The sequence below is a fragment of the Homo sapiens genome, chromosome 11 (genome assembly GCF_000001405.40).
Source record: "Homo sapiens chromosome 11, GRCh38.p14 Primary Assembly".
NCBI classification, from domain to species: Eukaryota; Metazoa; Chordata; class Mammalia; order Primates; family Hominidae; genus Homo; species Homo sapiens.
This window is the reverse complement of record NC_000011.10, coordinates 66,243,165-66,256,899: the sequence shown is the minus strand read 5'-3', so window position 1 is coordinate 66,256,899 and position 13,735 is coordinate 66,243,165. Positions and strand designations below refer to the sequence as shown.

The 13,735-nt window shown below is 52.2% G+C and overlaps 3 protein-coding genes across 6 annotated transcripts in view, besides 1 other annotated feature; 1 reads left to right on the top strand and 2 right to left on the bottom strand.

Annotated features, from left to right (window-relative positions):
• Window positions 1–12,190, top strand: part of LOC124902694 (uncharacterized) — a 12,878-nt gene extending 688 nt beyond the window's left edge. For both annotated transcript variants that reach the window (XR_007062737.1, XM_047427981.1), the window contains exons 2-3: window positions 10,527–10,724; window positions 11,788–12,190. Coding sequence is in view for 1 of the 2 variants with exons in the window: in XM_047427981.1 (XP_047283937.1) it covers window positions 10,527–10,724; window positions 11,788–11,851 (262 nt within the window). In the remaining variant the exon portion in view is untranslated. The remainder of the gene's footprint in view (window positions 1–10,526; window positions 10,725–11,787) is intronic.
• Window positions 1–12,962, bottom strand: part of KLC2 (kinesin light chain 2) — a 23,923-nt gene extending 10,961 nt beyond the window's left edge. Inside the window, exon 1 of the mRNA XM_047427414.1 lies at window positions 6,561–12,962. The gene's annotated coding sequence lies outside the window, so the exon portion shown is untranslated. The remainder of the gene's footprint in view (window positions 1–6,560) is intronic.
• Window positions 2,807–3,308: an enhancer, noted in NCBI's record as "H3K4me1 hESC enhancer chr11:66021063-66021564 (GRCh37/hg19 assembly coordinates)". NCBI's record gives its function as "activates a minimal SCP1, AML or CMV promoter by ChIP-STARR-seq in naive H9 embryonic stem cells {active_cell/tissue: H9 hESC(naive)}" and the evidence as "EXISTENCE:reporter gene assay evidence [ECO:0000049][PMID:30033119]".
• The window catches only part of PACS1 (phosphofurin acidic cluster sorting protein 1), a 174,473-nt gene continuing 172,893 nt past the window's right edge, over window positions 12,156–13,735 (bottom strand). For all 3 annotated transcript variants that reach the window (NM_018026.4, XM_011545164.3, XM_011545162.2), the window contains exon 24: window positions 12,156–13,735. In NM_018026.4, coding sequence (NP_060496.2) covers window positions 13,620–13,735 — 116 coding nt within the window. In that variant the 3' untranslated portion in view covers window positions 12,156–13,619.

Genomic DNA, 13,735 nt, shown 5'->3' with positions numbered 1-13,735 from the left:
GGTCCTGCTCAGAAGGTGGTGATCAGCCCAGGGCCCAGTGACCAGAGACAAGGAATGAACTGCAAAGATCAGAGGGACGTCCCCCCATAATAAGGATGCCACCTGTCCACAAAAAAAAAGCTGTAAATCAGGCTGCCTTTGACACAAGTGAAGACCCTCTATTTTACACATCTCAGTTACATCCAACCAGGTTCTTCTCAAACCTGTGCTCTGCCAATGGTTTTTTTTAAGTGACAGGTTCTTACTTTATCATCCAAGCTGGTGTGCACTGGTGTGATCATAGCTCACTGTGACCTTAAACTCCTTTTTTTCTTTTTGAGATGGAGTCTGTCTCCCAGGCTGGAGTGCAGTGGCACGATCTTGGCTCACTGCAACCTCTGCCTCCAGGGTTCAAGCAATTCTCCTGCCTCAACCTCTCCAGTAGCTGAGATTATAGCACCCACCACCACACCTAGCTAATTTTTTGTATTTTTAGTAGATACGGGTTTCACCATGTTGGCCAGGATGGTCTCAAATTCCTGACCTCAGGTGATCCACTCACCTTGGCCTCGGCCCAGCCTGTAACCTCAAACTCTTGGGCTCACAAAATCTTCCCATCATAGCCTCCCAAGAAGCTAGGACTACAAGTGCATGCCACTACACCTGGCTTTTTTTTTTTTCCAATTTATTTTCTTAGAGACAGGGTCTCAATATGTTGCCCAGGCTGGTCTCAAGTAGTCCTCCATCTCGGCCTCCCAAAGTGCTGGGATTACAGGCATGAGACACCGTGACTGGAATGATTTTTTTCCGGATAGCAGATACTTTCATTTGTGCAACATTCAAAAGACATACAAAGACTGGGCTCAGTGGCTCACACCTGTAATCCCAACACTTTGGGAGGCTGAGGCAGGTGGATCATCTGAGGTCAGGAGTTTGAGACCAGCTTGACCAATATAGTGAAACCCTGTCTCTACTAAAAATACAAAAATTAGCTGTGCGTGGTGGCGCACGCCTGTAGTCCCAGCTACTGGAGAGGCTGAGGCAAGAGAATCGCTTGAACCCGGGAGGCGGAGGTTGCAGTGAGCTGAGATGGCACCACTGCACTCCAGCCTGGGTGACAGAGACAGACTCTGTCTCAAAAAAAAAAAACTAAAAAAAAAAAAGGCAAACAAGCAAGTTACAATGAAATGTAGTTATCTCTGTGACTGCTGTCCTCAGCCATCCAGCCCCCCTCTCCGGAAGCAACTTCTGTTGTTTCTTATGTCCATTGATTATGTTATTTGCATCAGTGCTGAGCTTGTGTTTATCCTTGTCCATTTCAGCTGGTCAATTTTCCTCCAGGGCCCCTGAGGTTGGGGTCTGTTGCGTTTGGGATCTGTGATCCTTCAGCCCTCACATTGGCCTTATTTTCCAGATATATTGCCACTGGTTGGGCTGGGCTCAGTGGCTCACACCTGTAATCCCAGCACTTTGTCAGGCCAAGGCGGGCAGATTGCTTGAGCTCAGAAGTTCAAGACTAGCCTGGGCAACATGGTGAAACCCCATCTCTACAAAAATACAAAAACTAGCTAGGCATGGTGGTGTGTACCTGTAGTCCTAGCAACTCAGGAGGCTGAGGTGGGAGGATGGCTCAAGCCAGGAGGTGGAGGTTGCAGTGAGCAGAAATAACATCATGCCACTGAACTCCAGCCTGGGCGGCAAAGCCAGACCCTGTCTCAAAATATATACCTACATATATGTTGCACTGATTGCATTTTGGTAAGTCTGCCTCTGTGCATAGAGACTACATCCGACCATGACTGGACTCCCACCTGCCCAGCATGTTCTGTTCACAGGGAGGAAACAGAATATGGAGCACAAGGCACTTTTGTTCTTCATGACACTGGGTTTCAAAATCTTTTGAGAAATAACTTTCTTAGAAGGCTTTCCCTCTAGAGATTGAGATTTGGTGGTGCCAGGGTGAATCCTGGGCACCTCTTGGGACTTTTTTTTTTTTGAGATGGAGTCATGCTCTGTCGCCCAGGCTGGAGTGCAGTGGTGCAATCTTGGCTCACTGCAACCTCTGCCTCCTGGGTTCAAGCGATTCTTCTGCCTCAGCCTTCCAAGTAGCTGGGACTACAGGCGCATGCCACCACACTGGCTAATTTTTGTGTTTTTAGTAGAGATAGGGTTTTACCATTATTTTTACCATTTACCATTTACCATGATCCGCCCACCTTGGCCTCCCAAAGTGGACTTTTTTTTTTTTTTTTTTTTAAGAGCCGAGGTCCCACTGTCACCCAGGGTGCAGTGCAGTGCCACAATCATAGTTCACTGCAGCCTTGAACTCCTGGGCTCAAGTGATCCTCCCGCCTCAGCCTCTTGAGTAGCTGGGACTACAGGCAGGTGCTCACCATGCCCAGCTAATTTTTATTTTTTGTAGAGATGGGCTGTCCATATGTTGCCCAGGCTGTTCTTGAACTACTGGGATCAAGCGATCATCCCACCTCGGCCTCCCAAAGTGCTGGGATTACAGGTGTGAGCCACGGAGCCCGGCCGCCTCTTGTGGCTTTAAAGCTTAAGTGGTGCCTGTGCTGTGCGCCCTGGATTGAAAGTGCTGTTTCAGTGTCTCTGTTTTGCAGGTGAAGAAACTGAGGCTCAGAGAAGTGAAAGGCGGCTGCACCGGGCTCAATGGGCTTTTTTGTTTGTTTGTTTGTTTTGAGACAGAGCCTTGCTGTGTTCCCCAGGCAGGAGCGCAGTGGTGCAATTTCAGCTCACTGCAACCTCTGCCTCCCAGGTTCACGCCATTCTCCTGCCTCAGCCTCCCGAGTAGCTGGGATTACAGGCGCCTGCCACCACACCTGGCTAATTTTTTGTTGGCCAGGCTGGTCTCAAACTCCTGACCTCAGGTGATCCACTCGCCTCAGCCTCCCCAAGTGTTGGGATTACAGGCGTGAGCCACTGCGCCCGGCCAAGGAGCACATTTATTTTATCACCTTTTTCCCGGTAAATGGAGAGAACACTTCTCAATCTCCCTTTGTGACTTGTGCAGGTTCCTGGCTCCAATTGTTCTGCTCACCATCTGTGGGCTTCAGTGGTTCCTTTGGGATTCTCCTTAGGCGCTGGCTGCTCCGCCCGGTGTGCTGGTGGGGGAAGGCTGGGCCTTCCCTGCTGGTTCTCATTCTCTTGTCGCTTAGCCTCGCATGTGTTCGGCCCTTTCAGCCACTTGGCTTTTTATCTTGTCTCTGAGGATTGCACTGTGTGTCTCCCAAAGGAAGAGACTGTTACTTCATCCTGCACTGTCCTGTGCTCCTCCAGCAGCTGCTGATCTCATGCCAGGCTGCTGATGGGCACTCAGTAAATGGAGAATAAAGGAAGAAATCCATGCCCAGTGGTGATTCAGCTCCTTATGCTCTTTCCACAGTGCTCAGCAGCCCCCTGCCATCCCATGCCTGGGAAGTTGTTCTTGCTACTTTTAATATTACTGTTTCCTCCCTGAAAATCACTCCCACTTCTCCTACTGCATCCCTTTAGATCCTCAGAAGCCCTCGTCCCACTGAAATCTGCTTTCTTAAATTATTCTTTTTCTTTTGGCTAGATTCCCTCCCTTTCTCTGAAGTGGCTGGGGCACTTTTGCCAAGGCTGTCGTCCCACTTGAAATGTCAGCAGATATGGCCGGGCACAGTGGCCCACGTCTGTAATCCCAGCACTTTGGGAGGCCGAGATGGGCGGATCACTTGAGGTCAGGAGTTTGAGACTAGCCTGGCCAACATGGTGAAACCCTGTCTCTACTAAAAATACAACAAATTAGCCAGGTGTGGTAGCTCTTGCCTGTAGTCCCAGCTACTTGGGAGGCTGAGGCAGGAGAATTGCTTGAACCTGAGAGGCCTGGGCGACAGAGTGAGACTCTGTCTCAAAAAAAAAAAAAAAAAAAAAGTCAGCACATTCACCCATAAGTGCTCAAGATGGGAGGCTCCTTAAAGACCATGTCTCCCCAGCTTCCTGAGCTTCCTGAGGGGCCCTTGTCTACCTTGGACACCACTAGTTGTTGGTTCTTTCTGCCACTGAGCCAAGAATCAGTCTACTCAAAGCTGTCCCCAGAGGCTCCTGGTTCCTGTCCTGTGGCCTTATGGCAAATCTGCACCCTCTCTTCCTTGTGACCTCCCAGCCAGGGTAGACCGGTCCTGCCCTGCTCAGTGGAGGGACCGCAGGCCTTGGGGTCAGACTCAGCTAAGTTCAAAGCCGCGTTTCTCCATTTGCTAGTGGTGTCGCTTTTTAGGCATGGTCTGTTATTTTACCTGCTTCCTCATCTGTAAAGCAGGGTTCCTATTACCTACTTTGTTGGGACATCCAGAGAATGCAATAAAATGGCATAAAGGGGCTGGGCACGGTGGCTCACGCCTGTAATCCCAGCACTTTGGGAGGCCGAGGCGGGGGGATCACGAGGTCAGGAAATCGAGACCATCCTGGCTAACATGGTGAAACCCCGTCTCTACTAAAAATACAAAAAATTAGCCGGGCATGGTGGCTCGGGAGGCTGAGGCAGGAGAATGGCGCGAACCCGGGAGGCGGAGCTTGCGGTGAGCCGAGATCGCGCCACTGCACTCCAGCCTGGGGGACAGAGCGAGACTCTGTCTCAAAAACCAAAAACAAACAAACAAAAAAGGCATAAAGGCTTAACATTAGGCCTTGTACATAACAGACACTATTCCTAGTGGTTGTTTATTCTCATCACCATCAAGCTTAGTAGTCAACAGACCCTGAGTGCAAGGTGTGGGAAAAGAATGAGAAATACGGGGCAGCTTCTGCCTGCAGTGTTGTTGGACAGAGATGCACTCAGAATGAAGGTGAGCCACAAATGAGGCGGCAGAGACTGAATAGAAGCAAGCGTGAGCTGTGTAGTGTGGACCGTAGGTGCCCATGTGATCAGGAAGGAGATGAGCCCAGCGAGGGATGAGCTCACCTCTCCCCAGCGTCAGCTCTCCCACACGGTGGGGAGGCCCACATCTCCATCTCTGGCCCAGATCAGTCCCCTGAGCTCTACCCAGACCCATATATTCCACTTCCAGTTGGAATAGCACTAAGTCCTGTCCAAATCTCCTGCAGGGATGTTCACACAGGACAGTCAGTCTGTCCTGGACTCTCTTTCAACTCTGTTTTCTTTTTTTTGAGATGGAGTTTCACTCTTGTTGCCCAGGCTGGAGTGCAATGGCATTGTCTCGGCTCACTGTAACCTCTGCTACCAGGGTTCAAGTGATTTTCCTGCTTCAGCCTCCTGAGTAGCTGGGATTACAGGCATGCGCCACCATGCCTGGCTAATTTTGTATTTTTAGTAGAGACGGGGTTTCACCATGTTGGTCAGGCTGGTTTCGAACTCCTGACCTCAGGTGATCTGCCCGCCTCGGCCTCCCAAGGTGCTGAGCCACCATGCCAGGCCTCTTTTTTTGAGACGGAGTCTCACTCTGTCGCCTGCCCAGGCTGGAGTGCAGTGGCGCGATCTTGGCACACCGCAACCTCTGCCTCTCAGGTTCAAGCGATTCTTGTGGCTCAGCTTCCCAAGTAGCTGGGATTACAGGTGCCCGCCACTATGCCCGGTTAATTTTTGTATTTTTAGTAGAGACAGGGTTTCACCATGTTGGCCAGACTGGTCTCAAACTCCTGACCTCAAGTGATCTGTCTGCCTTGGTCTCCCAGAGTGCTGGGATTACAGGCATGAGCCGCCATGCCCGGCCTCAACTCTCGTTTTCTAACCAGCTACCAAAACCTATTAATTCAACCTCTTAAGTCGCTCTCAGATTTATCTATTTCCCTCTAACCCTTCCACCTTTACAATGTCCTCATCACATCTTTTCTAAATGGCTGCTGCACCCTTCAAGCTCATCTGCTGGTCTGCAGAGCAGGTCTTGTTTCTCCCGGTGTGTTGTATTAAGGAGATCTTTCTGAAATATGTCGTCTCACTTCTCTGCCTAGGTCCCTTCGCCAGCTCCCCTGTCTCTCAGGACAGAGTGTGCAGTCCTTGCTCTGGCTCACAGTGGTAACAGTAACAGCTACGAGGTTCCTCAGGGCCTAGACTCTTCCTCCGCTCCCACTGGCACTCACCATCCCCATGGTCTCCAGCTGCACTGAGCCCTGTGTGGTTCTTGGCATCAGCCACATTCTCCCTTATCTCTCTTATCTCCCTTATCTCATGCTACTTCCTATGCCCAGAACATCCATCCTTGTCAGATGTCTTCAGTATGCCACTCAGGTGTCATTCCCTTTGGGACATCTTCTTGGACACCTCTTCCTGCAGGGTGGACATCCCTCCTGTGTGCACCAGTGCAACCTGTCATGCTGTGTGGCGATGGTCTGCTTGTCTCCCCTACTGGCCTTAGCGTTCCTGTATAGGTTGGGACCCAACCTAGGTTCATGCTGTACCTAGGACACGAACTAGTAGGAAGTTAATAAAAGCCAGATGTATGGATGGTTGGGAAGATGGGATCTGAGTAGGGCCCTGAGATATGGCCTGAGTCAGATGATGGGGTTTAGAAACCTGACCTCTTCTCAGCCGATATGTGTGCATTGGACGAGTGACTTAACCCTCACTCATGCACTGAACCAACCTTTATCGAGGGTCCGCCGCATGCCAGGGTGCTGGATACTGCAACAATGAGTCCGGCGGCTCGGGTCTTTGTCCTCCTGGAGCTCTCATTCGAATGTGGTACAGAGACATTTGCTGCAGGTAATAGTGAACTCTATGACTGAAGAGACAGAGGCTAACAACCAGGCTTTGGGTGGGGTGGTTGGGGAAGGCTCTTGGAGGAGGTGATACAAAGGCCACATCTTAAAGGAAAAGGAGCTTACTCTGGGGTTGGAAGAGGGATGTGAGCACTGAAAGGTCAGGTGTGGCTCGAGGGTGGTGAGCATGGCAGGGGGAAAGCAACTAGAAGTGAAGGTAGTGAGCCAGACCACGGGCCTGGTGGACGGTGGTTGGCCTCTATTCAGAGGGCACTGGGAGGATAGGACGACAAAGGATACTCTATGCGAGGAAGGTACCCTGGCTTATAGTTGGAAACAGCGTTTGGGAGGCAGCATGGACAAGAGTTGCTGATGGATTGGGAGGGGCGGCGCAGGATGAGTCCGGGTTTCTGGCTGGAGTAACAGGATGGAGGCTGGTGCCATTGCCGACTGGGGAAGATCAAGGGAAATCAGGAGTCTTGCTTTGGCCATGTGAAGTCTGGGATGACTGTGAGTGTTCAGGTCGCAACATAAGTGGTTAGATGGGAGGCTCTAGAGTTGGGAGGGGAGGCTCTGACCTTTGGTTTCCTCCTTTGCAAAAGGAAGCATCAGCAGAATTGATTTCACAGGGAGGGCTGCTTTAAGGACTCGATGAAATAAACCATATAAGGCACTCAGCAGCAGCCTGGCTCAAAGGCAATGCCCTGTAGGTGACGGTGACAGCTATTAATGCTGTCAGTCCTTGGACACGGCAGGTGAAAGGGGTGGCGAAAGAAGCAGTTTAAAGATTAGTCTGAAACCTCCTGTACAGCAGAATCCCAGATGATGCATGTAGGGATAATCAACACCTCACCCGAGTGTGGGCTGCACCAGCAACTTCCTTCCAAAGAGAACAGCATGGGAGCAGGTGTGTGGGACTTTACAGTGAGGAGCCCAGGTCAACCTCATCCATGATGTCATGTTGACGGCATGTGCCCTTCACAGGCTGCGCTGAGAAGGGCATTCACCTTTGAGGTCTTCCTCCCCACAACCTATAACCTCCATCCAGCCACGAGAAGAACATCAGACAATCCCCAACTGAGGGACATTCTACAAAATGCCTGACCAATACTCCTCAAAACTGTCAAGGTCATCAAAAATAGAGATCAAAAAGTCTAAGAAAATGTCACAGCCCAAAGGATCCTAAGAAGGCAGAATGGGCTGGATGTGTTGGTTCACGCCTGTAATCCTAGCACTTTGGGAGGCAAGGTAGGAGGATCGATAACTGAGGTCAGTTCAAGACCCTATCTCTACCAAAAAAAACGAAAGAAAACAAAACAAAACAAAGAGCCAGGTGTAATGACACATGCCTGTAGTCCCAGATACCCAGAAGGCTGAGGTAGGAGAATGGCTTGAGCCCAGGAGTTCCAGGCTGCAGTGAACTAGGTTGGCACCACTGCACTCCAGCCTGGGCAACAGAGCAAGACCTGGTCTCTAAAATCAACAACAAAAAAGAAGACAGAATGACCAAACGTAGTGTGGCATTCTGGGTGGGAGTCTGAAATGGAGAAAGGACATTAGGGAAAAACTAAGGACATGCATAAAATAGGGACATTTATTTATTTATTTGAGAAAGAGTCTCACTCTGTCGCCCAGGTTGGAGTGCAGTGGTGCAATCTTGGCTCACTGCAACCTACGCCTCCCGGGTTCAAGCGATTTTCTTGCCTCAGCCTCCCGAGTAGCTGCGATTACAGGTGCCCACCACGCCTGGCTAATTTTTGTATTTTTAGTAGAGATGGGGTTTCACCACATTGGCTAGGCTGGTCTTGAACTCCTGACCTCAGATGATCCACCTGCTTCAGCCTCCCCAAGTGCTGTGATTATGGGAGTGAACCACCGTGCCCGGCCAAAATAGGGACTTTAGTTAATAATCGTGCATCACGATTGACTCACTAGTTATGACAAATGCACATGAATGTAACATGTTAACAGTAAGGGAAACTGGCAGGGCGGTATATAGCCACTCTTTCTACTATTTTTGCAACTTTTCCATAAATCTAAAGGTATTCTAAAATAGTTTACTTAAAAATAAAACCAGTCTGGAGTTGGCGTGCAGGTTAGATAGAGGCTCTTCCACTTTCTGCATCAAAAAGCCTTTAGTCTCTGGCGGACCTTGGGCAGCTCTGCTCTGGTCCAGCCTTAACTCCTGGTGACTGGGCACAGCTGCTTCAGGGTCTGAGTCAGCACCTTCCACCTGAGTTGCCTTGTGCTCCAAACTGTCCCTACACAGCTGATTTCCTCTTCTTTGCCCGGGGTAGGAGTCTATCTTCTTACTTCTGAGCCTATGAGAAAACCCAGGTGTCTTTTGGGCTAAGGCATCAGTTAAAATGTCTTGAGTAGCACATCTGGATTTGGAACCCAATTCCAGCAGCAAGAGGGAACTTCATTCTGCAAACGAGTATTTATTGTGCACCTGTGATGGGCCAAGCAGTATTTTGGGTGCCAAGGATACAACAGGGAAAAACATTTCCTCTTTTCTTGGAGCTTGCATTCTTGTGGGAGAGACAAATGAATAATTAATGCCAAGGAGTGGGAAATATGAGTAAGAAAAAAAAAAAAGAGGGGTTGGAGAAGGGAAGGCCTCCTGAGGTGACATTTCAGCCAAGACCTGAATGATGGAGCAAGCCACACGGGCCTGAGGGCAGCAGCAGGATGGACAGGACCAAAGGTCCGTGCAAAGGCCCTGAGGCTGAGTGGTGTTTGAGGAATGTTGAGAGGCCAGTGAGGAGGGGAAGCGTAAGAGGAATTAAGATCCAGCAGCTCCTGGGAGATCAGACCATGTGGGCCCCTCACAGGTAAGGCTTCAGCTTACACACCTAGGTAGGTGGGACACTCTGCACAGTTTGGATCAGCAATCCAACACGATCTGCTCAGCTCTGAAAAATCTCTGGCTATTGAGTGGAGAACAGGCTACAGGGAGAAGAGGGTGGGAGCAGGGATAATTAGGAGCCTATTGCAATATCCAGACAAGAGATAATCGCAGTAGAGGAAGGGGCAAGGCACTGTCAGGATAAGCCTGGAGGATTTGCTCATGGATTAGATGGTGGGTACAAGAGAAACAGGAATCGAGGAGGATTCCCCAGTTTTCGGCCTCGGAACTGAAGAACCGAGTTTGCATTTACTAGGAGGGAAGTCTCCCCAGGGGAGCACATTTCACACCATGGGGCCGAGTGAGCTCCCTTTAGGGCTGAGTGTGGGGAGAGAGGAGGCTATATTAGAGGCTGGAGCCCCGAGTCCTCCAGGGTTTTGAGGCTGGGAAGCTGAGGACACCATAGCAAGGGAGGCCAAAAAGGAGAGGCCAGGGAGGTGAGAGGAGAGCACAGAGCTGTCCACAGGCCAGGTGGAAAGACTCAAGCGGGTGATTATTTGCATCCAATGCTACTGATAGGACTGGGCAACCCAGGTCACTGGCAACTGTGGAAAGGAAACTTTTGGTGGGATTGTGAGGAAAAAACTGGAAGGGAGTGGGCAGAAGTGGAGACGGGGAACACACACAGCTCTTTGGAAGAGTTTTGCTCTAAGGGGAGCAGAGACAAGGCATGGCAGCTGAAGAGAATCTGGAAGTCTCTGGTCTTTGATATTGAGCTATACCCACTTGGGATGCATGTAAGTGGGTGGAAAGTCCTGGCAGAGGGGAGAACCCGCAGTGCAGGAGAGAGGGCGACTGTAGGAGAAAAGCCCTCAAGGAGTGAAGAGGGATGGGCCCCGAGGATGGGAGCAGGGTGGGGCATTTATTGCCACAGAAGGGGAGGCTGAGGATATGGTGTCAGATGCAGACGGGCTGAGAGTTCACCCTTCACCCTCTCTCCTAGCTCTAAGCCAGAACCTAAGGGGGCCAGAAGCTGGGATCCAAGTCTACTTGTCCCACCCCCTCCACTGGAACTCCCTGGCCCCCAGCTCTGCACAGCTCCTGCCCTGCAGCCCTCGCCTGGCTGTGCTCCGGGAAGTCCTCGTGGGCACTTCACCCTGCTCTGCAGCCACACTCACACCCTAGATCCAGGTCACACTAGGTATGATTTGCTTCTCCTGGCCTTTCCTCTCACCAGCCCCGCTATCACCTCATTTAGAAGGCAGGTATGATTTTCATTTTCTAGGCTCAGAGAGTTTGCGCAGGGCCACACAGCTGGGTCCCCAAGCCTCTCTATGTGAGGTCGTCTGGGCACAGGGCTTGGGGAACCCAAGACTGAGGCCAGTGACAGCAAGCTCTGGATGGCCATCCACTCCTCTGGGGCTATACCTGTAGGGCAAGGATGCCAAGCGCTGCCTCTCCTGCAAGCCTTCACCTCTGGACACTTCTCTTTTTTGAGACAGAGTCTCATTCTGTCGTCCAGGCTGGAGTGCGGTGGCACGATCTCAGCTCACTGCAACCTCCGCCTCCCGGGTTCAAGTGATTCTCGTGCCTCAGCCTCCTGAGTAGCTGAGATTACAGGCACATACCACCACGCCCGGCAAAAATTTTTTTTTTTTTTTTGAGACGGAGTCTCGCTGTGTCGCCAGGCTGGAGTACAGTGGCGCGATCTCGGCTCACTGCAACCTCCACCTCCTGAGTTCAAGTGATTCTCCTGCCTCAGCCTCCTGAGTAGCTGGGATTACAGGCACGTGCCACCACACCCAGCTAATCTTTGTATTTTTAGTAGGGACGGGGTTTCACCATGTTGGCCAGGATGGTCTTAATCTCCTGACCTCATGATCCACCCACCTCAGCCTCCCAAAGTGCTGGGATTACAGGTGTGAGCCACCGCACCCAGCCAATTTTTTATATTTTTTAGTAGAGACGGGGTTTCGCCACATTGCCCAGGCTGGTCTCAAACTCCTGAGTTCGGGCAAAACGCCTGCCTTGGCCTCCCAAAGTGCTGGGATTACAGGCGTGAGCCACTGTGCCTGGCCACCTCTGGGCACTTCTTCATGGGGAAGGCACACACTTCTTCGTGTGTGCAGGCCTGTCTTGGAAGCTAGTGGAAAAACCGGGCACCCAGGGGACAGTGGCTACCACTGCTTTCCATCTCTAAGTCAAGGGCGGGCAGGAAAAGGAACTCCACAGATGTCCCTCAGCCCTATTCCCTCCACCTGCAGAGGCAAAGACCCCACTGGCTCGGACTTCACCAACCTGGAGCAGGGGAGAGAAGCTAAGTTCTGACCTTTGATCAGAAGATGGGGAAGCCACACTCAACACGTCACTGCCTTGGGAGGTGGATTTGGGGATGGTGGGTCCTGGGGAAAAACGGGCTTTTGGTGTGGAAATGACATCTTTCCTGTTTCCGACCTCTGCCTGCCTCATGCCAGGTGAGACACCTTCATGCCTGTTTCCATGATTGAGAACATGGGAGTACGCTTCTTTCCACCTACGTTCCTGGTGGATTTTCACTGGAGTTGGGCTGCACTGTGGAAAAGGGGTTGGGCAGCTCCTGTGGCACAGTGAGGGGGCATAGAAGCCCAAGGCAGTCGGTAAGAAATCACCAATTTATTGAATGAAAAACCCAACATCAACTCAGTCCCTCCCACCCCCATCTCCTCTCTCTGGCCCAGGAGACGCTCAGGACAGCAGGGCTGAGCCCTGGGAAGGGCTGGAGGAGAGCTTGGGGGAGGTATGGAGAATGAGAAAAACACTTTCAAAATGAAGTTCTGTGCAAAAACTTCTGGGAAGGAGTGAGAGGACAAGAGAAAAGCTCCAAAGGGGCTGTGGGGCGCAGATGGCCGGGCTGGGGGGTGCAGAGGGCTGGGCTGGGGCCCTGTGTCCTCAACCACTCCTGAGAACACGGACGGTCAGGAATGAGGGGCTCAGACCCCGGGTTGGTGAGAGGGAGGTGACAGGGAGGGAAGGAGCCTGCTGGAGGGAAACCTGGCTGGGAGGATGGGTCTGGGCCCAGGCTGGGGCCTAAGGAGGGGGAAGAACAGAGCAGGGAAAGGCAGAAAAACTGACACGGTGGGAGGAGGGAGATGAATGGGAGATGAAACAGAATGTCTGAGGGGCCACAGACAGCATGTATGGTGGTGGGGGTCTGCCTCCCATCTCTCCAAGTCCAGGCAGAGCTGTGCTGGGTGAGGGGCTGGGAGGCAGAGGCAGGAGCATCATTAACAAGGGTGGAAGCCACGAAGACAGCGACCAGTGCACAGGGTGTGTCACATGGTACAACCAAGAGACTTGGCGTGCAAAGAACCAAAGAAACACTCAGGACACACACGACATCTGCAGGGAACCTGGGGGTGGTGAGGAAGTCGTGCACGGGTGGTGGGGGGAGACTGGGAGGCCCCTCTGTCCTAGAAACGCTGTGTCACCATAGCAACAGGGTCCTGGAGGCAGGGGAGCTGCCTCCTGCCCCTGTGAGCTGTGAAGTAGGGGTCCTGTGGGCTCAGGGTGCCCCCTTACCCTCCCTTGAGAAGCTCTGGGGCAGGTGGAGAACCCCATAAGAGTTGAAAGTGGCCTTGGGTCCTGCTGGAGGCAGCAGAGTGAGTGGATCTGGCAGCTGCATCCTAGAGGACACCCTGGTGGCTGGAGGGGCTGGGGGAGGACTAGGCTCTCCTGCTGGGGACCAGGATTCCAGCTTTCTCATTTCCGAGAAGGAAACTGATACCACAAGGAAGAGTTTGGAAGTCGGGTGAAGGAAGGCCTGGGGGACTCAGTCCAGGGGACTATGGGCACCAGAAGGCAAAACCAACACGCCTTGGGCCTGGAGCAGGAGGGAGAAGGGGAAAAGCGGGAAGGAGGAGGGGCTGTGCAGGGGTGGGCTGGAGGGGAGGGGAGGGAAGGCGTCCCTGTGGCAGTGTCCTTCGGGACCTGGGCGAGTGAGAGGCAGACCCTGGTGCCAGGGAAGGGGTGCTGGGCCCGGGCCTGCTGGCCTCCCCCTGCCCGCAGGCGGTGAGGCTGGTGGCAGTGCCAGGAGGGAAAGTGGCTGGGAGACAGGGCCTCAGGTGGCCTTGCTGCCACTGAAGAGTCCCACTGGAAAGTGCTTGACATGGGTGGGCCACTGGGCTGCCAGCTGGAAGAACTTGATGTCACTCCACTCGACCCCATCGATGGACA